This window comes from Homo sapiens, chromosome 6 (assembly GCF_000001405.40).
Source record: "Homo sapiens chromosome 6, GRCh38.p14 Primary Assembly".
Taxonomy (NCBI): Eukaryota; Metazoa; Chordata; class Mammalia; order Primates; family Hominidae; genus Homo; species Homo sapiens.
Genome location: NC_000006.12, coordinates 168,910,041 through 168,934,337, shown reverse-complemented (window position 1 = coordinate 168,934,337; position 24,297 = coordinate 168,910,041). Strand labels below are relative to the sequence as shown.

Below are 24,297 nucleotides of genomic sequence, written 5' to 3'. Positions count from 1 at the left end.
AAATATTTACATCATGATGTAGTTGAGTACATTCTAAGTCAACAAGACAAAAACGTTAGAAAACCTATTAATGCTTTTCAAAATTTACTATGGCAACAAAATCAAGGAGAAAAAATCCTACATGGTGAGATTAAAAAAAATTAGCGAACTAAAAATATAAAGGAACACTCTTATTCCAATAAGGTATGGCTAACTAAAGTAACCATGTCAAATATCAGAACTTACAGTGACACGGAAGCAACATTCCCCAGAAGACTTCAGATGAAACCAAGGAAGCTCATGACCCCAGCTTCTATTCAGTGTTATGCTGGAGGTGCATGTTAGCACTGAGCGGGGAACACAAAGTGCAGGATAGGAAGAGAGGATGTTGTAATCATTCCCGAGCTACCCGAGAGTTAACTTAGAGAACGAGCAGCTTTCCTTACTTTTTTAACAAACATTTATGTAGTATTCAATATAGAGCAGGCACTATTCTAAATAGGTTAATAGGAAAAATTAAAATAGTTATCAATCACAGTTAAAATTCCATTATACTCCCTTGCACCATCAAAAAGAATAACTCAAGACTTAGAAACATTACATGTAACAGAAAAAAACCCCACAAAAATAGAAAGTAACTAACAAAATGTTCATGAGATACAAATAGAGAAAATTACAAATTTTTGAGGCATATTAAAAACATAAGTAAATGGAAATATTTACCATGTTCATGGATAAAAAGATTCAATATTGTGAAGATCTCAAAACTCTGCAAATAATTTATAGATTTCATGCCCTTCACATTATAATCTCAGCAGGATTTTTTTTACAAAATATGGCAAGATTGTCTAGGCCTTATAATAAAGAACAAAGGTCATAAAGTAGTCACAAAAATACAGGCACAAAAGAAAGAAGAAAAAAGATGATGAAAATTATGCTACAAGATATCACAATTCGTTATGTCAGTACTTGTAAAGCAACATAATTATGATGGCTAATCTTACGTGTTGACTTGACTAGGCTGAGGGATGCTCAGATGTTATTATGGATGTCTCTGTGAGGATCCTTTTGGATGAAATTAATGTTTGAATCAGTAAACTGAGTACAGGATACTCAACTTTACCAGGGAAAAGAAATACACATTCTCTCTCTCCCTCCCTCCCTCCCTCTCTCTCCGTGGGCTGGAACATCCATCCTTTCCTGCCCTCGGACACTGGAGCTCTAGGTTCTCTGGTCTTGGACTCCTCAGTCAACACCAGCAGCTCACCAGCCTTCAGGCCTCAGATTCAGACTCAGCAACACCAGAATCTTTCCGGCTTGCAGACAGCAGATCATGGGACTCTTCAGCTTCTATAGTTACAGGAGCCAATGTTCATAATCCATCTGCTCTTATATCTCTCTACCTCCCATTGGTTCTGTTTTTCTGGAGAATTTGGACTAATAAGTAAGTTTATGAACAAAATAGAAACCTGGAGAGGGTTAAGGGAACTGTTCCACACTCATGGGAGTGGGATTCCTGCAACGACTGGGAGACAACGTGGCTGCGTCTGAAGTTGGAGAAGTGCATTTCTGTGGCTCCAGGGCCCGGCTATTCCACTCCTAGATTTCAAGTGCATTCCCGTGGCTCCGGGGCCCAGCTATTCCACTCCTAGATTTCCAGTGGGTTCCCGTGGCTCCGGGGCCCAGCTATTCCACTCCTAGATTTCAAGTGCGTTCCCGTGGCTCCGGGGCCTGGCTATTCCACTCCTAGATTTCCAGTGCGTTCCCGTGGCTCCGGGGCCCAAATATTCCACTCCTAGATTTCCAGTGCGTTCCCGTGGCTCCGGGGCCCAGCTATTCCACTCCTAGATTTCCAGTGTGTTCCTGTGTCTCCGGGACCCAAATATTCCACTCCTAGATTTCCAGTGCGTTCCTGTGGCTCCAGGGCCCAAATATTCCACTCCTAGATTTCCAGTGCGTTCCTGTGGCTCCGGGGCCCGGCTATTCCACTCCTAGATTTCCAGTGCATTCCCGTGGCTCCAGGGCCCGGCTATTCCACTCCTAGATTTCCAGTGTGTTCCCATGGCTCCGGGGCCCAAATATTCCACTCCTAGATTTCCAGTGCATTCCCGTGGCTCCGGGGCCCAGCTATTCCACTCCTAGATTTCCAGTGCGTTCCCGTGGCTCCGGGGCCCAGCTATTCCACTCCTAGATTTCCAGTGCGTTCCCGTGGCTCCGGGGCCCAGCTATTCCACTCCTAGATTTCCAGTGCGTTCCCGTGGCTCCGGGGCCCAGCTATTCCACTCCTAGATTTCCAGTGCGTTCCCGTGGCTCCGGGGCCCAGCTATTCCACTCCTAGATTTCCATTGCGTTCCCGTGGCTCCGGGGCCCAGCTATTCCACTCCTAGATTTCCAGTGCGTTCCCGTGGCTCCGGGGCCCGGCTATTCCACTCCTAGATTTCCAGTGCGTTCCCGTGGCTCCGGGGCCCAAATATTCCACTCCTAGATTTCCAGTGCGTTCCCGTGGCTCCGGGGCCCAAATATTCCACTCCTAGATTTCCAGTGCGTTCCCGTGGCTCCGGGGCCCAAATATTCCACTCCTAGATTTCCAGAGCGTTCCCGTGGCTCCGGGGCCCGGCTATTCCACTCCTAGATTTCCAGTGTGTTCCCGTGGCTCCAGGGCCTGGCTATTCCACTCCTAGATTTCCAGTGGGTTCCCGTGGCTCCGGGGCCCAAATATTCCACTCCTAGATTTCCAGTGCATTCCCGTGGCTCCAGGGCCTGGCTATTCCACTCCTAGATTTCCAGTGGGTTCCCGTGGCTCCGGGGCCCAAATATTCCACTCCTAGATTTCCAGTGCGTTCCCGTGGCTCCGGGGCCCAAATATTCCACTCCTAGATTTCCAGTGCGTTCCCGTGGCTCCGGGGCCCAAATATTCCACTCCTAGATTTCCAGTGCGTTCCCGTGGCTCCGGGGCCCAGCTATTCCACTCCTAGATTTCCAGTGCGTTCCCGTGGCTCCGGGGCCCAGCTATTCCACTCCTAGATTTCCAGTGTGTTCCTGTGGCTCCGGGGCCCGGCTATTCCACTCCTAGATTTCCAGCGCATTCCTGTGGCTCCGGGGCCCAAATATTCCACTCCTAGATTTCTAGTGTGTTCCTGTGTCTCCGGGGCCCGGCTATTCCACTCCTAGATTTCCAGTGTAGAAAAAGTCCTTCCACAAGGGTCTAATGGGATGAAATATTGGAAACAAGTAAACGTCTACGAAAACACTGGACTGTGTGAATAGTAATGCATTCATTGATGTGGTAATAAATAAACAGTGTCTACACACCTCAACCTGAATTAATCTCATGAGGAACATGTTTAACATATGAAGCCAGTCATGAAAAATGTATAATGTAAGATTCCCCTTATACACATTAAAAAAATAGATCAATATCAAATATTGCACAAGCCTCCATACATTTGTAGTAAAATACGAATAGATGTTTGGGAAGAATAAACACCAATGCAGTCAGTGATAACTTGAGGAATGGGAGAAGGCAGCGATGGAAGTGAAGCCTTTGCTTTGCAGCATTTGCCACATTTCATGTCTTCTGCTAGTGGCTTGTACTCATCTATTACCTCATTATTCATAACTGCTTTGAAATATTTCATTAGACCTTTAAATACTGTTAGTCAAAGAGACAAGAGGTTCAGCAAATGAGCAATAGATAGAAACGGGAGAGAATCTTAAATGGATAAAAAACGGGCTCCTATTCTTGGTGTACGCTCTGAATACAACATTATTTCAGAGAATAAATTGGAAAAAGTCCCCAAAACATACCACAAAATTAAAACAGTGTTTTAGTATGACACAATCAATAATGGTTAGTTGTTTGTTTTTGTTTTCATATTTATGCTTTTTTGTAACTGCATTTTAAAATATATATGCTGCTGGGCTTCACAGTTTGTTTTTTGGCACAGGATGATACGTAGCCAATGAAATAATTCATCTAAGTAACTTTTAAAAATTAATTAAAACGTGAAATGCAGACAACCTCCCCATCCAGTGAACCTCAAGGAGACCCAGCTGCTGACGAGAGCCGACCTCAGTGTCTGGTTGAAGATGTCAAGAACAAGATGTTCTCATGCATGGTTCTTGTTTCTTTCCTCCAGAAAACAACTAATTGAATTTGTCTGTGCTTGGTTTTGTCTATCTCCACCCAATCTCTGGTGCCTGTCGGGGGCTTGGCCCACAGTAGGTGCTCCCTGTCCATTAGCTAAACAGATGGCAGTGGACATGGCAGCTGATGGTGGTTAGAAGCTGGCACCTGCCAGATGGAAAGGAGAAAGCCCGGGTGAGATGCTGCTGTTCCCCGGCTCTCGGGCACCATCTGCACGCACAGCGTATCAGAGCCTCTCCAACAGCAGTCATGATTTGTACTGGAGCCGTGCAAAGAGGGAGGGTTTTGTTACTTTCATGACATGAAATGCCCAGATGTCTCTAAGTTCCTAAATAAATATTCTATTTATAACTAAGTCTAATCTTTAAAGTTCTGATACTCCCAAATATTAAAGAATGTCATGGGCCTAGACTATTACTACCAATGATAGTTATCTTGTAAGCATTAAATTCTTTTTTAACAGATGACCAGAAAAACTGTAGATGGGTCTATTTCATATCATTCCAGTTTCCAGCAGCTCCTTTCCTGAGCTGGGCCTGCAGCCACAGACCCTCAGCTCAGGCAGGAGGCATAGGAGCTGCCACCATGTGGAGCCAATGACTCTTTGTCTGAACCTACCTGTATTAGTGTGTTTTCATGCTGCTGATAAAGACATACCTGAGACTGGGCAATTTACAAAAGAGAGGTTCAATGGACCCAGTTCTGTGTGGCTGGGGAGGCCTCAAAATCATGGCGGAATGTGAAAGGCATGTCTCACATGGTGGCAGACAAGAGAAGAGAGCTTGTGCAGGGAAACTCCTGTTTTTAAAACCATCAGATCTCATGAGACCCACTCACGATCATAAGAACAGCCCAGGAGAGACCTGCCCCCATGATTCAATCACCTCCCACCAGATTCCTCCCACAACATGTGGGAATTCGAGATGAGATTTGGGTGGGGACACCCAAATAATCTTATGATTTTTCAGCCCCTGTATTATCCACATGGCACCTTCTGTTACTGATGCTTAAGGAGTGGCTTTCTCATTCCCATGGCATGTGCCTTCATCAGCTCCCTGAACAAGGGGTCAGCTCGAGGTGCACTTCCCCAGCCTGCAGGGTTTTCTCACCGGAAGCCTCAGTCTCTCTCCTGAGCAGAACATCCTTGACAAATGCCATGTAGGACTTTTTAACAGGGCCATCTTGCTTCTCCTTCTGAACATGAACACCCGGAAAAGTTGGCAGCAACTCAGATCCACAAAATGAGCAAAGGACTTTCCGTGCAGGTGATCTGTTTGGCGGCTGGTTTACCCCCACAAAGAGAGAGCTCCAACAGATGCTTCAAGAGCGCAGTGAATTTGCCACTACTGTTATTTCATCTTATTATAGATGTCTAAAAAAAGAAAATATTTTGGAAGGTGTTCCAGTCTTAATGGGAAATAAGGCCTATAAATTTAAAAAGATAGCCAAGCAGAGGGATCCACAAAGTGGCAGAAATGTGAAACCCCTTTTCCTAAATATACAGTATGTCTTTAAAACAGTACACATGCAGTATATACCACTCATTGTATATTGGTCATTGAAGAAAAAATTCAGATAGATAAATATAGGTAATTAGTACATGTAGACATATTTTAAATTATTAAAATAAATATATGGGGAAAACATCTTTGATTTAGGTGAACACTGAGCCTCTACTAAGCAGCATTTAAAATGTTTTTGAAGCATTCTTTCCTAATTCCTTTCGGCAAATCCTTTTTAAATATCTGATTCCATTTACTTAAAACCCTGCCAGTGTTACAGTATCCGCGGAAGAAGGCGTTTTCATTACTCTGATACTAAATTAAAAGCTTTCTTTGTCCTTCTGTCTAATATGGAGCACTGGCATTGCCAGCCCGGCACAGTGGCGCTGGATGACAGGGACTACACCAGAATCATGAGGGCAGCCATCCTGGGACCGAGGGAAAAGGCACAGCATTTGATTGGCGAGTCTGTTTCTTGTCTCCGGGCTGCTTTATGCTTTTCCCTCCAGCATTGTGGCCCCTCCATCCCCAAGTTTATAGCATTCTGCGAGCCTCGGGTAAGAGAGTATTTCCATCACTGGCCCTGGTGCATGAAAGCCACACTGCCAACTTGTCATTATCACCAGTCTGGGTTCCTTTCCGATGGAGTAAGGGAAACTCCAGGCCCAGACTGGAAGAAGCTTATCTCCGCCGGGGAAATGTCTGCAGGTGACTGAAGCTTTCGTTCCACCATAACACATTTCAAGAGCACATATTCACTCACCCCAACACTTAGTAAGGACCCGTTTACAGGAAAACACTTATTTTGAAGCATACGTCTCAGCCAAAAGATACAGAGTGCTAAGATGTTCCATTCCTTTTTAAGGAGATTCCACTGGCCCTTTAAGCAAGAAACGACTTCACAGTTGAAACCTTGGTTTGGAAGACTCTTGTTTCAAATCTCGGCAGCATCCAATGAGCCCTCCTCATCAGCTGATGGTGGTAAGCACCTAGGACTTGGGCCAGTAGAACGAAGGAAAGAAACACAACCATTTAGTAAAAAGGTACCATAAAACATCGGATCTGCCGTTTGTGGCTGTGGGTGTTTTGGAATGTGCACACACACGGGGTTTTCCTCTCCCTGCCACCGCCTCCTTCTCTTCTCACTCTTCACACAGAAGTAGCTGCATATCAAGAATTGGTCTTCCCAAAGCCTAGGCTTTCAGGAGAACTTGGAAGTTTTCAGACAAAAAAGAACGGTGTTTGTAAACCAGGTAAGTCTTGGAAAGGGCATCTTGGAAGTGGCTGGGATAGAAAAAGGACCCCGGTGCATGCCAGCACCATGACAGACGGAGACCCCTCCTCCGTGTGCGGAGGGGAGGTCTAAGCATTTGGAGACAGTTGGAGACAGTCCTTTGCTTCTTGGCGTGAAGTAAAGAAGCATCAGACAGGAATATAAGGTGTGTTTAGGAAAACCGGGTCAACAGACACCTTCACAAAATAGTTCTGGGGCCCAGCCTGGTGGGTGTTGTAACTAGAAGGCCAAGCGAGCAGAGAGATGTTGTGGCCTCAGGAGGTCTGACCGAGAGGATGAGGTTTGGAGCCAGGCAAGGAGTTCAGATGCCAACTCCCTTCCTAATGCTATGTCGCCTTAGGCAAGTTACTTCACGTCTCTGTTCTTAAGCTTCCTCATTTGTAAAACCACGCATCCCTCTGAATTTATTGTAAGGATTAAATGAGTTAATATTTACCAAGCATTTGAAGCAGTGCCTGACACTGGGTGAGCATTATATAAATACTAGGTAAATAACCTATTGGCCCCGTGCAAGTCTCCTAAACTGAGGCATACATCTGAAGAATAATTAAAGTTAGGTTTACCCCAATCTTAGTGAAATTTGAGCTCAGAAATACAAAGAAATAGCATTTTCAATAATAAGGCTAGCGATAGTTATTGCATACTAAATACATGGACTGAGATTTATAGGCAATATCACTGCAGATACAATGGCTTTGGAAGGTTTCCTCTCGACGATGCTTCAGTCTTTTAGTTGTGATGTGAGTGTGTGTGGGGTGTGTGTGCATGTGTGTGCACTGTGCACACTGTGCGTGGTGTCACATGTGTACGTGTTGCTGTGCGTGCGTGTGTGTGCATCATGCACACTGTGCGTGCGTGTGTGGTGTCACATGTGTATGTGTTGCTGTGTGTGTGCATGTGTGTGTGCGCATGTGTGTGTGTGCATTGTATCTCGTGTATGTGTCGCTGTGCTTGTGTGCATGTGTGTGTGGTGTCACATGTGTCTGTGTTGCTGTCCTTGTGTGCGTGTGTGTGCACTGTGCACACTGTATGTGTGTGTGGTGTCGCATGTGTACGTGTTGCTGTGCTTGTATGCATGTGTGTGTGCATTGTGCACATTGTGTGTAGCGTTGCATGTGTACGTGCTGCTGTGTTTGCATGCATGTGTCTGTGTTGCGGGTGTGTGTTCCTGCATGCGATGGTTCCCATTGCTGGGCTCATTCTCAGCCCCTGAGAGACAGTGCTCACAGATAAACTAAAATTCCCACTCCAAACAATTTGGTCAGAATCAATTTACATATGAATGTGTGGGTAACGTTTCCTTAACCAAAAATGTGAAGAATTGTGCTATTCTTTTCATGCTAACAGGCAATAATTAGCAGTGAACTCGTTAAGCTAGTTTTGTTTTCCGCTTGTGCTTGTTTACGTCTTTATTGGTCAGGGCCTAAAATGTGCCTCAAGAACTGCAGAAGAGCAAAATTCGGCAGAGGGAAGAGGAAGGAGCAGAAGATGGAAGGAGACCGGAAGGATGTTGTCAAACACATCAGACTCAGAAGTGGCGCCCGGCCTGCCTGTGTTTTCACGGAAACCATTCCCAGTCTTTCTTCATGGCACCATTGCAGCCTCCCCTTTCACAGAGATGGTTCCTACCTAAGGAACTTGCCTTCGGAAATGGAAGACACGAGGGAGGTTACAGGTGGGTCCCGAGACAGATACTGAAGATAGAGAACTGGAAAGGGTGAAGCTGAAGAAGACCAGCACATTTGTGTTCAGAGCTGTCTGTTATCATAAGAACAGGCTCAGGCTCCTGCAAGAACAGGCTCAGGATCCTGCTGCCAGAGACTGAGGTACAGTCGTTTGGCTTCTTAACAAAAGCAATTCAGCGATCAGTTTTTTTTTTTTTTTTACCATACCCATGTGTGAACATGTACATATATATTTGTTTAATTGTATTAAAAGCCCAAATGTCCAACAATGATAGACTGGATTAAGAAAATGTGGCATATATACACCATGGAATACTATGCAGCCATAAAAAATGATGAGTTCATGTCCTTTGTAGGGACATGGATGAAATTGGAAATCATCATTCTCAGTAAACTATCACAAGGACAAAAAACCAAACACCACATGTTCTCACTCATAGATGGGAATTGAACAATGAGAACACATGGACACAGGAAGGGGAACATCACACTCTGGGGACTGTTGTGGGGTGGGGGGAGGGAGGAGGGATAGCATTGGGAGATATACCTAATGCTAAATGATGAGTTAATGGGTGCAGCACACCAGCATGGCACATGTATACATATGTAACTAACCTGCACATTGTGCACATGTACCCTAAAACTTAAAGTATAATAATAAAAAAAATTGTATTAAAATACCTTTTTGCTTAGCAAAACGTGTCTAAAGTTTTGATAGATTTATGAATAAAGTTAAAAGTGATCATCCAATTTCAATTAATAAAAAAAATTTCAAAACTTACTTCTTGATATGTTGCTTTATTTTAGCAACTACCCTGTTCCATCTTATGGGTTGACTGCAGTTACATATAACTATTCTTGCAACCCATGTTAAATGAAGAAAATTAGATAGAATTAGAAAGCAATCTGATTACAGTGCGCACTGCATTAATGGGATTCATGTGGCTTCACTGTATAGCTTGTCCTTGGGTTGCCATAAAGGAATACCTGAGACTGGGTAATTTATAAAGAAAAGAGGTTTATTTGGCTCATGGTTCTGCAGGCTGTACAGAAAGTGTGGTGATGATGTCTGCTCAGCTTCTGGGGAGGCCTTAGGAAGCTTCTAATTATAATGAAAGGCGAAGAGAGGGTGGACATCTGAGGGGGTGAGAGCAGGAGCAGAGTGGGAGGCACCACACACTTTAACAACCAGATCTTGTGAGCACCCACTATCATGAGGACAGTGTCAAGAGGATGGGGCTAAACCATTCATGAGAAATCCACTCCCGTAACCCAGTCACTTCCCTTCAACATTAGGGATTCCATTCAACAGGACAGTGTCAAGAGGATGGGGCTAAACCATTCATGAGAAATCCACTCCCATAACCCAGTCACTTCCCTTCAACATTAGGGATTCCATTCAACATTCCATATTCAACATGAAATTTGGGCAGAGAAATATCCATACCGTCTTAGTCATGAAGGAAAACGTGGATTTTTGGCTCAGTCATTTTTTATCAAGAGGCTTAGTACCCAAGTAAGTTATTTTGTATCTGCAAAATGAATGTAATAAAAAGACATCAAATTTATTTACCAGCACTCACTATAAACACAGATCTTACTCTTTAAAACTCATCACCCTGTCTTGGCCGGGCATGGTGGCTCACACCTATAATCCCAGCACTTTGGGAGGCCAAGGCAGGCAGATCACTAAAGGTCAGGAGTTCAAGGCTGAGCCTGGCCAACACAGCAAAACCCTGTCTCTACTAAAAATACAAAAATTAGATGAGTGTGGCGGTGCATGTCTGTAATCCCAGCTACTCAGGAGGCTGAGGCAGCAAAACCGTTTGAACCTGGGAGGCAGAGGTTGCAGTGAGCTGAGATCGTACCACTGCACTCCAGCCTGGGTAACAGAGCGAGACTCTGTCTCAAGAAAAATAAAAATAAAAAAATAAATCTTATCACTCCGTCTCAGAAAAAAAAAAAAAAAGTGAGATGAAGGAAATGGCAGCAAACCCAGTGAGAACATGTTTGAGGCTGTGCTTAAGTACAAGATACAGGTATCCATTGCAGATGTTCCAGAAGACATGATTCAGTGCAGCAGGGGCCAAATAAAGGTGATCTAATTGACAGGAAAAGAGCACGGGGCCCGGCCTGGTCGGGGGCTCCTCAGATGGGGAGAGACTGGTGTGGCTGCCTTTTCAAGTGAAAAGTGCTCCCTGAGCAACATCTCTGTGGGCTTGGACAGGACCTTGGTCTCTCGGGGCCTCCCTGAGTCATTTAGACCCTGAGGTCAAGGATCGCTTGTGACTTGAAAGATACAGAACTGGCTCCCAGCCTCGGTGGGAGCATCTTGCTTTGTGCAAAGCAAAAGGAAATCACATAATACAACTTTGTCTTCAAAAAGGAAGATGCAGTGAGTCTGATTCTGGGGCAGGACTCCTCTGGGGGCATGAACGCCAACAGCAGGGCTCAGATGTAAACACGAGACCACCTGTGCCCACCATGAAAGGAGAGCAGCCCCGACTCCGGATGAGGGGCCTGTGAAAAGAAGTCTTTTGTGTCAAGCACCCTGGTCTTCCCCTCACAAGGTCAGGAAAGCCGATGAGGGAAGACCAGCAGAGATTCATCTCCACGGACCCGCAACAATAAAACATCAGAGCTGGATTTCAGGTTGAGAAAGATAAAAAACATAAACGAGTCTTTTCTAAAAAGCATATTTTAGTGAAACTATATTGTTGATCTTTTAATAAAAACCCTTTTTTCAAACTTTTAGAAACTATGCTTTGTCGCCTCATTTTTTTTTTTTGGAATGTTGGAAGAGCTATGTCAAACCCTGGTAACCCAAGGTGCTATGGCTTCTTCCCCCGGGAGGATGGCATGGCCTGTAGCTTCCCACCCTTCATTGTCCTGCCTTCAGTGTGGGCTCAGCTCCTGGCCTCCCTGGGGCCTATGGAGACAGTAATACTCATTTCTGCACAGTGAGCTGTAAGCTGTGGACAGGGGCAGATATCCCTCCCTGAAGGAAAAGACAGAGTCCTACAAAGCAAATGCTTTTGACTCAGGTTTTTCCTCCTGCTGGGATGCTGACGTGATGCCTGGGGGTGTGGCAGCCATTCTGAACCTAAGAGACAATGAAGGGTGGACAACGGAAGACTCATGTTCCCGGCAGACATCCCGAGTGCGCAGAGCCCGTCATTCCCTCTTTCCAAGTTCCTTCTAACAAACGGTAGCAGGAAAAATATTACTTAAACCATTGTCAATTTCTGATTATCTACAGTTGAATACACAACTATGTAAATACAATTCATTTGTATTTATGTTTATAAATGTAGATTTAGAAAAGATGTGGAAAATGGCCGTGACATTGGGCAGTTAAAACAGGTTAAAATCCAGAGCACCTGTAGGTCGTAGTGAGCAGCTGTGGTTAGTTAGTGCTCGTTCCCAGGCCTGCACTTTGCTTGAGAGAAAGCACCACGGCCAGCACTACCTCAATCTTCCCGGAGCGGCCTTAATCACGTAAAAAAGGATGAAATTCGCTTTAACGATACGTTTGATCTAGCCCAGTCTATCCCTAAGGTTACTGTTCCAGCATGTACTCAATATAACAATATTAATTCCATACTTTACATTCTTTCTTTCCTACAGAGTCTTTGAAATCGGTGTGTATGTTACACCTACAACACATCCCACACTGGAGGAGCCACCCTCCCAGGGCGAGACAGCAACACAGGCCTCCTGGCCACCCACACAGGTAGTGAGGATTTGGGTTTCCACAGTTACCAAACCCAAACCTTCCCCTAACCACACAATACCTGAAGTCAATAATTAGCTCAGAGCATGAAATAAAAAATCTAAAGTAATAATAATTTACTGAAAATATATTTCTGTCTTCAAAAGTTTTAACAAGTATGACCTCATTTAATGTCTTTCCCTCTGAATGTAAGTAATGGTAGTGCTAATGCCTTAGCTTTCTGCACGACTGAAATAAGACACTGCTTGTGAAGATGTTTTTGTTGTTGTCTCACAAGCGCTTCTGAAACATTTGCTAAGCTTGACCCAACTCTGAATCCCGCTACATTTTAAAGTATTGGCATCATACCGAGCACATTCTCTGACCACAGTGTAATAAACCAGAAATTAATAACAAAAAGATGACTAGAAAATACTCATATGTTTTAAAATTAAACAATGTACTTCCAAATAGCATGTGCCAAATTAAAAATGTAAACTAAAAATTAATATGAAGTAAATGACAAGGAAAATACTCCACATGGAAACTTACAAAATACAACTATAGCCATGCTTAAGGGACATTTATGGCCTTGAATGTGTATACTAGAAGAAAGGAAAATGCAGGTATAAGCCAGTAAGTTAGCCCTATCCTGGAGTTAGCGCCAGCCAAGAAGGGGGAAAAATTATAATGGGGTCACATATACATTAAGAAATTATTTTCACAAAAGACCCATTAAGAGAGTAAAAAGGTAAGCCACCGAGAAAAAGGAAATATTTGAGACTCATTTAACAAAGGACTCTTATTAAAAATACATAAAGAACTTCTGCAAATCAACACAACAAAAACAATCAGTTCAAAACAAAATTATGTGAGATACAGATATCCAATGGCCAACTAATATATGAAAATATGCTCAATCTCAATAATTATCAAGGAATGAAAAATAAGTCAAGAGGAAGGTGCTATTCCACAACCCCTGGAATGGTTGAAGTTGAAGACTGTTGGTCCCAGGCATTCGCAAGAGGGCATGTGGATGAGAATTATCCTCACACACTGCCGGGGGGACATAAATTGGTGAAACCACTTTGGAAATGGTTTGCAATGTCTACTAAAGGTGAAGGTGTCTACACCGGGGTCCTAGCAGTTCCACTCCTGAATGGGAATTTATGTTTATGGGCATGGAGAGACACATACGATTATTCAGAGCCATGTTATTAGTATTAACTGTACAAACCTACTTTTTTCTCAACCAGAGAATAGATACATGAACTTCGGTACATTGATGCGGCAGAATAAGACGGTGTACAGCAGTGACACCAAAGGAACCATGGCTACAGGTAGCAGCAGCTGAACCTCACAAGTAAAACCGAGAGACTGCAAAGGACTGTAGACTGCATGATGTTACATGTCTGTAACATTCAAAAGGAAGGCAACACCGTTGTACTTAGTGATGTTGAGCTAAGCCTCTGCAGAAAGGCGAAGCTGTGATTGCACTGCAGCCCGTAGCATAGTGAACTTTGCAACGCAGGGAAGGGCATACAAAGCGCAGGCCTTTGGGAGTTCTGGCCGTTCTGTGTACTGACCTGGGTGTGGTCACATTTCTTGATAAACAATTGAGGAGCATGTTTTTGCCTTGTGCCTATTTTTATGTTATATTTCACGATATTAAAAATGTTAAGAAAGAAAGTGAGCTATTCAAATCATAGTACATTCAAAAATAAAACAAACATTCTCATGAAGCTGGGATCAAAGAGAATCTGAGAGCAGGGAGTTGAGGCTGAATCTGCAGCCCTCGGAAGCTCCAAATCTGATTACAAGTAGACTCAAAATACGGAGCACCGGGTGAAGGGCGGAGGCCAGGCTCATTACTGGGCTTACGGGAAAGATCTTCTGCCATGTCATTTTAATTCTGTGGGAAATATGTCTTCCTCTGACTTGTCTTTTCTGCCAGAGTGCAGGCAGAAGGACTTGACGCCTGGTGCTCCAGCAGCTGTCTTGCCACCAACAGGGTAAGGCGAGGGAAAGTGCAGAGTCAATAGCCCAGAACACTGAGATCCTCGGGCCACTGGAGGGACCTGCACCATCAACCTCTGGTCTTCTCAAGTAAACAAAAATGCCTTATGGTTTCTAGAAGATTAATTTTATGAAGTTTCTAAAAACTCTTTTTCAAAACATTTGTTAATCAAAAAAAATAGTTTCAGAAAAGGTCTCACTTGTAAGTTTACACAGCGTAAAAGCTGAAAACACACTGTCTTTGTATGACTTTTGTTGCAAGGTCGGTTGTCAGGAGAGTTTAATCAGACGTTTTTACAACCACGTTAACTGTACTCAACCAAAACCTCAGGTCGCTGTGTGGAAAGCAACCACTGTAGCATGAAAATTAACACTTTCAGAGTGTACTAGAACACTGTAATTTGAACACGCAAATGAAAGTAGATACAGCATGAGAGCAAGGTACAAGATATGCTAAGACGAGGTTTTACCTCAAACCCAAGTTTCCTGGACTGTGGGTTCAAGTCCCATCTGCAATGTACTTTAACACATTTCTGTGGCTTAATTTCTGCCGGTTTTCTTTACAGTCATGGTTTGAAGAAATGGATGAACTGATCTGAACTTGCTTTTTAACATTTAAAAATACAAACTAAATTCATCTAGCTAGATTTGAAAATTGGGGGAAAAAGCTTTGTAATTGTTTTTTAAAAGTCACCTCACTTGCTGATCATTTAATGAGAAACACAAAAAGAAACGCCTGCTGAACAAGGACGCCATGTCATTGTAATGGGATTACTTGGTTATCTGTGGTCATGCAGGTATTGTGGGATTTCTTAGATTAATTTTGTTAGATAATTTTTGAAATGAATTTAAAATTTCTTGTAGAACACATTGTCACCCCTGCAGTACCAGAAATGGTGACTTTATCAGGAAATCAGAGCTCTGCACAGCTTACGGGGACACCTCAAGCCTTCAGGATGAGCCAGGCTGCCCTCTATGGACCCAGCAGGTCAGCTCAGGGATTGCCACATAAAATACAGGACACAAGCTGAATTTCAATTGAGGGTAGACTGTAATTTTTTTTTAGCATAAGTATGTCCCAAACATTTCATGGCATATAATGACACTAAAAGAATATCCCTTGCTTGTGTGATATTTGAGTTTAATGAGGTGCCCTGTTTTGTTTGCATGTTGGCCAAGTCTGTCCATCCTAAAACAGACATCCCAGGGCAGACAGTGGGGGCCTCTGGTGAGTTATCTCACTGATAATTTAGCTTCAGTGAACAGTTCCCTTAAGGCTGGGCTGTCAGGACACCCCCTCCCCCATCTCCTGCCCGAAGCCAGTTTTAAACAGCGTATTCTTCAAATCACTACTTATGTCTCATTCGATGCATGACAAAACACACAAAAAATGGGACCATATCTGGCCGTTTCTAAATTAATCCATAACTTATCTTTTCCACTTCTTCTACAGTTGCAAAATACCACTCCAACTAAGAAGCTTTTGGGAGAAATATGACTAGATGGTCTGGCCCACCCTGTCCCATCCATCGTAGGGTGGCTGAGAAGCCACAGCAAGGCAGGGCCCATGGCAGAGAGAAGCTGCCAGGGAGGCCACACTGGCTCCTGATGCCTCATACAGGGACACACTCCCTCTTCATTTTATATAATCATTACAGCCCTCACCAGGAGTCCAGGGAGGAGCAGGATCATCCTCATTTTTACTGATGATAAAACTGAGGTTCAGAGAGACACACGACCTGCCTGCATCTCTACAGTGGTGGCGCCTGGGAGCTCGGCTGCAAACTCACACTTGTCTCCTGCCCACCCCCAGTCTCTCACTGCCTCTCACTGCTCTCTTGCAATATACAACATTTAAAATCTATCTCATTTCAGGAGTTCGAGACCAGCCTGGCCAACATAGTGAAACCCTGTCTCTACTAAAAATACAAAAATTAACCAGGTGTGGTGGCAGGTGCCTGTAATCCCAGCTACTTGGGAGGCTGAGGCAGGAGAAATGCTTGAACCTGGGAGACAGAGGTTGCAGTGAGCCGAGTCCACACCACTGCACTTCAGCCTGAGCAACAGAGCAAGAATCCATCTCAAAAAAACAAAAAAACAAAACAAAAAAACCACTCTCTACCTCATTATCTCAGTTTTCATAATTAAATAGACATTTCTTTTTTAATGTAATGCTCTTAACTATAATCCTCATTTTTAAAAAAGTATTTTATTAATTTACAAGAAAGAATTGTACATAATCATGGGGGTGCCTAGTGATTTTTTTTTTCCAGACTGAGTTTTACTCTTGATGCCCAGGCTGGAGTGCAGTGGTGTGATCTCGGCTCACTGCAACCTCTGCCTCCCAGATTCAAGCAATTCTCCTGGCTCAGCCTCCCAAGTAGCTGGGATTACAGGCGCCCACCACCATGCCCGGCTAATTTTTGTATTTTTAGTAGATGCAGGGTTTCATCATGTTGGTCAGGCTGGTCTTGAACCCCTGACCTCAAGTGATCCACCTGCCTCGGCCTCCCAAAGTGCTGGGATTATAGGCGTGAACCACCACGCCCGGCCCTCTAGTGATGTTTTGATAGATGAATTTCTCATATCATCATCACTAAGACGTAGTTCTTAATATATTCAACAATAAAGGTTTTTGAAGTTAAATAAATTTCTACCTAGGAATGAGGTATCGCTTTGAAGCACACAATCCCTATTGCTAAATTAACCATGGAAGATGAGGCCCTGCACGAGAGTTCATAGAAGGCGGCTGTGATTCTGGAGCATCTGTGTGCACGGGGAAGGCACCACGTATCTCTGGGAAACCCTTCCCCTCCTTTTTAAAAGCATTGGAAAAAAATGATGCTTGGCCCTTTAATAACTAAAAGCCAGGCCCTGGCAGAGTTTGGTTGTGAAATAATAGAAGGGGAAAGTTTGAAAAAGAAACATGAACTGATGCAGAGTGGCTTTTCCCCAGCTGCAGCCTTCAAAGGCCAGGAATTTGGCAGCCGGAATGCCTGTGGATTAGAGATCTCGCCACTGGCAAAGGCCATTTCCAGGAATAGGTCTGCCCAGGGTGGCCACAATTTTCCTCTGATCTGGCAAAATCTAAGCCATAGGATATGAAGAAATTCCTCGATTCTGAAAAGCAATGTCAGAGATCCTTTATATGAGTACGAAGCATTCAAGCAGTGGCTTAAAAATAAGAGGAAGCGATAGGACAGCTGCTTGTCTGTCTGAAGCCGGACACCGGGCACTGTGGGGCCCCAGGGCAGCTTGGTGGGGCTGCATCTGCCAGGAGTCCCCCAGCTCCTCAGGGATGAGGAGGTGCTCCTGCGTGGGGTCCCCTCCACACGCCTGCCGCAGCACCCCTGAATCAACGTGGGAGGGCCACAGTCTACACTGTGACATGTCTCTGTGCACCAAGGCAACACCTCCCAGGCTCATCTCAGAGGGCTTCAGAGCAACATGACAACACAAATTACACAAACCTCCTCAAAATAGAGAATCAGCACGTGCCCGTTTCACACACTTCTGACCATCAAACAAAAAGTATGACGCAGTCATCTGCTAACACAGAAACGCTTATATATCAAGCAATGACCGCCCGTGTTTGTTACTTAGGTGTGTAGTATTTTGTTCAAGAATAATGGTATTTTTAAACTCTTCACTTGTTAGTCATGTTTTAAAATTTGACAAAATCCCTCACTCTTTTTCTATATCCATAAATTAAGCTTTCTTATATATGTGATTTTCCGTTTAACAGGGACACCCAGATCAGCTTTGTCACAGCTGCTGCTCTGTGAATATTTTGGATTCGATGAATGAATTGTTCTTAAGTAATAATGAATGAGTATGTTTGCTTTTCTATCCTTTTTCTCCAGGCCAGTAGAGCCTGTTGTAAAGCTGTATGTAAACAGTACATAGCGATAACTTCTCTTGTTCTAGTTCCCAGTATAAAGCATCCCCTCCCTGGACTGTTGCTGGAAGTCCTGAAAGCCATTTTATATGTGCTTGTGGGTGATCCCTGGGGCCACTCCTGAGTCCTCTCCTGTCCCCGCTGAAGCCACCAGTGCAGCCGGCCTCTGCCTGCTGCAATGCTCCTACCTCTGTAGGCAGAAGTCATGCTCAGGTGCCAATATGTCAGAAGGGAGTGACATATCCATGTGAGAACCAAGGCTTCTATGCCACCGGGGTTTGCCACAAGTGTCAGCACTGGATAGAAGCAGAACCCTGATAAAAACTAAATTCAAAATGTTCCAAAATTTAAATTAAATACCAATCACTGAGTCAGGATAGGTAGTCAAGGAAGTCGCCGTGTCCTTGGGTGGTCCACAGTGGTGGTGGACATTGGTGGACAGTGGTGTACGGTGTACGTGGTGACTGTAAAATCAACACAGCAAGCCTCAGCATTGACATTGTCACTGAGCTCCCTCAAGCAAAGCTACCTTCAGTAGGGAATTTCCCCTGCAGAGAGCATGTGCACTTTGATTTTACCGTCCTCAAACTGACCCTTTGCTCTTTATAATCATAAAAAGCAAACCATGGGTGGAGATACAAGACCCTGAGACATGTGACGTGTGAGCAAGCACGGACAACTACCATGCGTGCATCCAGAGGAGCACCCAGAACATGCCCCAAGCAGCGCCTCCTCCCACCCCCTCATGGGTAATCGTGGAAGACTCCCACAGAGGGAGCCTCCCTCCTGCTGCTCTCTGCTGTCTCACCTTGGAGAGCACCCACCCTGAATCCTCTCTCTCCCAAGCTGTCCTGTCTTATTCTGCACCTAACTGTAAAAATATTATTTTTCCTTTGCAAAAAATTACTTCACGCTGCGTCTCCTTTGCTGTGTGTCTCTTGCTTAAATCCTTTTAAACTAAGACCAGACCCAAGGTCTCACAACTTCCATCACTATCATCACTTTCAAGCAAAAATAATACAGCAGCCTCCTCTGTTCCAGTGTGGGTGAATCGTGTAAGAAGATCTGATGTGTGAATGCTCTGTGGATGGGGGGGGACCAATGATCTGGGCTCATTCAAGAACATACCACACCACGTGGGTGTCCACGGACTGCCCTGCTCATTCCGCGTGGCAAAGTGTTTGGTGCCACTAGTCATCATGCTGTAGTCACTACCAACACCCCCTCTTCCGTGCTGGAGGTGTTGGCGTTATTTGGGGAGTCCTGGTGACTCCCCTAAGGTCATGTAGCACCGGAAGTGCAGCCAGATGACTCTGACGCAGGAGCCCCTCACCACTGCGTCCCAAGGGGCTTCACATCAGCCACTGGTTTCAAGACCGCAGTTCAGATTCTCCCTTTGCCACAATGGGTGGACAAAAACTATGGAGATTGATTTGTGATTGTCAGGCTTTTGGGCCCTGAGTCTTCCAAGTTTTCTTTTTGCCAATTATCATGCTCTAGTAAAGCCACACAATTTGTTCAAAAGCACATTTTCTAGTCTGGGGAATTTGGAGATCTATGTGATATGGAATTGCTCTAAGTCAAGGATAACCAGGGACTCAGTAGAGGACTATAAAAAGGAGAAGAAAACCTTACACTGAATAAAAAGAGTAACAGAAAATACAATCACCCTGCGACCAGATGTCAAGCACTCTCGAAAGCAGAGCTCACGGTGCCCGGCGGCTCCAGTGTGCACGTCTCTGTCCTGGGGAGCCGCCATTATTCTCTGGATGGCTCCTCATGGCTGGCAAACATGGTGTTTCCCACTCTCCTCTGGTTCTGTCATGGGGTCTACCACACTGGGGTGTCTCCCCAAGTCACCACTCTTGGAGGGCCGGGCTTCGTGCAGTGGTTAGATGCAAAGGTCCCGTGGGCTCATCCTGCTTCCATCTGCCCAGACTTAGCAGTCCTGTGCTCTCAGGCAGGGCCTTCACCTCTGAAGCCCCCTCTTCCTGTTTGTAATAGAAAATCCTTGTCACTAAGTCATTACATAATCAGGTTCATGTGAACATTAATGGGCTGTTGCATGAGAAACGCTTACGATGTTGCCTAAACATTTGCTAGTGAAAGAGGGGGCAGTCCCCTCAGCACTAAAACAACACTGTGCCTCCCAGGACACCCATTCCACAACTGACAAACACAACCCTGCACCAACTGGGGTAGGGAGTGGAAAGACACAAGTGGCTTAGGGAGCTGGGGCTCAGTTCTCCGGCAGGACTCGTGCTTCCCCTTAGATCACACAGATGTAAACCTGGGGAGACTTTCCAAATTTCCTTGCCGGCAGATTGTGGATGGCAATAAGAACCCATGAATGAGATGCACTGCATGGCATGTGGAAGGCGGATGAAAGTAGAAGCCCCCTCTGTCTTCCTGCAGCACAGGAAGCAGGTGACCTGAGCAGGTGGGGCTTTCAGCAGGTGACCTGTACAGGTGCGGCTTTCAGCAGGTGACCTGAGCAGGTGCGGCTTTCAGCAGGTGACCTGAGCAGGTGGGGCTTTCAGCAGGTGACCTGTACAGGTGCGGCTTTCAGCAGGTGACCTGAGCAGGTGCAGCTGTCAGCAGGTGACCTGAGCAGGTGCGGCTGTCAGCAGGTGACCTGAGCAGGTGCGGCTTTCAGCAGGTGACCTGAGCAGGTGCGGCTTTCAGCAGGTGACCTGAGCAGGTGTGGCTTTCAGCAGGTAGGCCTGAGCAGGTGTGGCTTTCAGCAGAGATCCTACCCTCAGCACTATGTGTGGAATGTAGGAATCCTTTCCAAAAATGTTGAACTGATTTCATTAGACAAATAGAAATCGAAGCAAACTCAACAGGACAGGACATTGAGAAGTACACAAAGTCATTCAAGTGCAGGAGGGGCCTGTCCTGGATGAAGACAGAGCTGCATCCATGTTTTCATTGAGTCAGAAGAAATGGAAGAAAGTTGCAGGTTGATTTTGTTCTAGGCCAGTGCTGTAAGGAAATCCATGTTGGATAGGCAGGAACAGGAGGGTGGGGGTGCAAGGCGAAGATTCCAGGCAGTAGGTGATCACTGGGGTCTTCGGTGTGCAATGTGATCTGAGGATCGTGGAATCGTGCTGGCTTTCAGAACAGATGAGAAGCCGGGAGGAGCCTGTGCAGAAGAGGAAGATCTATCTGGAAAAAGGTGAGGGTGTGAGGAGCAGCTGGGATAAGGCGCTAAGCAGGAACGCACCCAATGATGGGAAGGAAGGGAACCTGGGGGAGGCCCAGGGCATGCTGATCACAATGGAGAACTGAGGCAGGGAAGAGAATTGCTAGCTGAGAGTTTCAGGATGTAAGCTGAAATGAAGTGTCCTAGAGGGACGTACATGGCAGCGGGCAATGAAGACAGAAAAAGTGGGTTCTAAGTTTAAGCCTTTGCCGGATTCAGTGGGCAGTGTGAGATCACGTAATTGCAATTTACCTGTGTGCTACAGGGGAGCCGCCCATGCCTTTGGTGCTGCAGGAGATGAGGGAATCTGAGCGTGAATGAGAGAAGGAACTGGATCTTTCAGCTCCTGACATGAGTCAGTCTTTTGATTCTGTTATTTGACTTAATTCTCTCAATAACTCGCCAAGGTGAGTGTATTAGTGAGGGTTCTCTAGAGGACTAGTAGGATAGATGTATACATGAAAGGGAGTTTATTAGGAGAATTAACTCACACAATCAGAAGGTGAAGTCCCACAATAGACCATCTGCAAGCTGAGGAGCAAGGAAGCCAGTCCAAGTCCCAAACCTCAAAAGTAGGGAAACCGACAGTGCAGCCTTCAGTCTGTGGCCGAAGGCACGAGAGCCCCTGGCAAACCACTAGTGTAAGTCCAAGGTCCAAGAGTCCAAAAGCTGAAGAACTTGGAGTCTGATGTTCGAGGGCAGGAAGCATCCAGCACGGGAGAAAGATGGAGGCAGGAAGACTCAGCCAGTCCAGTCCTTCCACGTTCCTCTGCCTGCTTTTATCCTAGCCAAGCCGGCGGCTGATTAGATGGTGGCCACCCACATTGAGGGTGGGCCTGCCTCTCCCAGCCCACTGACTCAAATGGTAATCTCCTTTGGCAACACCCTCATGGACACAGCCAGGACAATACTTTGTGCCCTTCAATCCAGTCAAGTTGGCACTCAGTACTATCACAACGAGTATTAGAATGTTCTACATTTTTGACTCAAGGAAACCAAAGTTTACGGAATTTTGAAGATTTGGCTAAAAAAAAAAATTCTGAAATACCAGAACATGCTTGTGGTGGAGATTGTGTGAGGATATGCACTCCTGAGAAGGGGCAAGTCAGACAAAGAGAGAAGCAGGGAGAAGAAAAGAAGGAAGAGGAGAGAAGCAGGGAAGAGGAAGAGCACAAGAAAGCAGGAGAGGTGGAGAGCGGGCAGACAGAGACAGGGAGAGCTGCAGAGAGGACCCCGCTCCCCACCCGGGAGGACAGAGAGGATTCCGCTTCCCACCTGGGAGGGCAGAGAGGACCCCAGTCCCCACCTAGGAGGACAGAGGATCCTGCTCCCCACTCAGGAGGACAGAGGATCCCGCTCCCCACCCAGGAGGACAGAGAAGACCCTGCTCCCCACCCGGGAAGACAGAGAAGACCCTGCTCCCCACGTGGGAGGACAGAGAAGACCCCGCCTCCCACCTAGGAGGACAGAGGACACGGCTCCTCACCTGGGAGGATCATCGCTGCTCTGTAACTCAAACAACCACAGCAAGGGTTAGATAAATGTCTACTTTACAAAACAAAGTCGGATGGGACTTCAGTTTTTATTTATTATTTATTATTTATTTATTTCTGAGACAAGGTCTTGCTCTAATACCCAGGCTGGAGTACAGTGGTGTGATCCTGGCTCACTGCGGGCTCCACCTCCTGGGGCTCAAACCGTCCTCCCACCTCACCCTCCTGAGTAGCTGGGGCCACAGCCTCGACAGCCTGCACCACCATATTCGGCCAATTTTCCTTTGTATTTTGTAGAGATAAGGCCTCACTATGTTGCCTAGGTTGGTCTTGAACTCCTGGGCTTAACTGAACCCAGCCTGCCTCAGCCTCCCAAGGTGCTGGGATCACAGGCATGAGCCACTGTGCCTGGCTATTTCTTTCTTTCTGTCTTTTTTTTTTTTTTTGAGATGGAGTCTCGCTTTGTCATCCAGGCTGGAGTGCAGTGGCTCAATCTCGGCTCACTGCAAGCTCTGCCTCCCGGGTTCACACCATTCTCATGCCTCAGCCTCCCGAGTAGCTGGGACTACAGGTACCTGTCACCACGCCCGGCGAATTTTTTGTATTTTTTAGTAGAGACAGTGTTTCACCGTGTTAGCCCAGGATGGTCTCGATCTCCTGACCTCGTGATCTGCCCACCTCGGCCTCCCAAAGTGCCGGGACTACAGGAGTGAGCCACTGCGCCTGGCCCTGGCTATTTATGTCTTAAAGGGAAATTTAGAATTCCACTTTAGATAATGGGCTTTTGGAATAATTAAGAAGAATCTGAAACACATTCTTTGAAAAGAGCACATCAAACTGTCACAGAGCAGAGGAAGCTGCGGAGACATGAGGACTAAGTGTCACGTGGGATCCTGCGCAGGAGGGAAGACTGAGGGGACGCGGATCAAGGACGCCCTGAGCTGATGTTGATTATCAACACTGCCTCCATGACGCTGACTACCGACGCCGCCTCCACGACGCTGACTACCGACGCCGCCTCCACGACGCTGACTACCAATGCCGCCTCCATGACGCCACCAATGTGGCCTCCACGACGCTGAACACCGACGCGGCCTCCACGACGCTACCGACACTGCCTCCACGACGCTGACTACCGACGCCGCCCCCACGACGCTGACTACCGACGCTGCCTCCATGATGCTATCAACGTGGCCTCCACGACAGTGACCACCAACGCCGCCTCCATGACGCTGACTAACGACGCTGCCTCCACAACGCTGATTACCGACACTGCCTCCATGACTCTACCAACGTGGCCTCCACAACGCTGATTACCAACGCTGCCTCCACCACACTGACTACCGATGCCACCTCCACGACGCTG

General features: G+C 45.9%; 1 long non-coding RNA gene across 1 annotated transcript in view; it reads left to right on the top strand.

Moving 5' to 3' along the window:
* Positions 1 to 6,597, top strand: part of LOC105378146 (uncharacterized) — a 36,642-nt gene extending 30,045 nt beyond the window's left edge. The window contains exon 4 of the long non-coding RNA NR_136250.1: positions 6,494 to 6,597. This is a non-coding gene — a long non-coding RNA (uncharacterized LOC105378146). The remainder of the gene's footprint in view (positions 1 to 6,493) is intronic.
* The last annotated feature ends 17,700 nt before the right edge of the window (positions 6,598 to 24,297 follow it).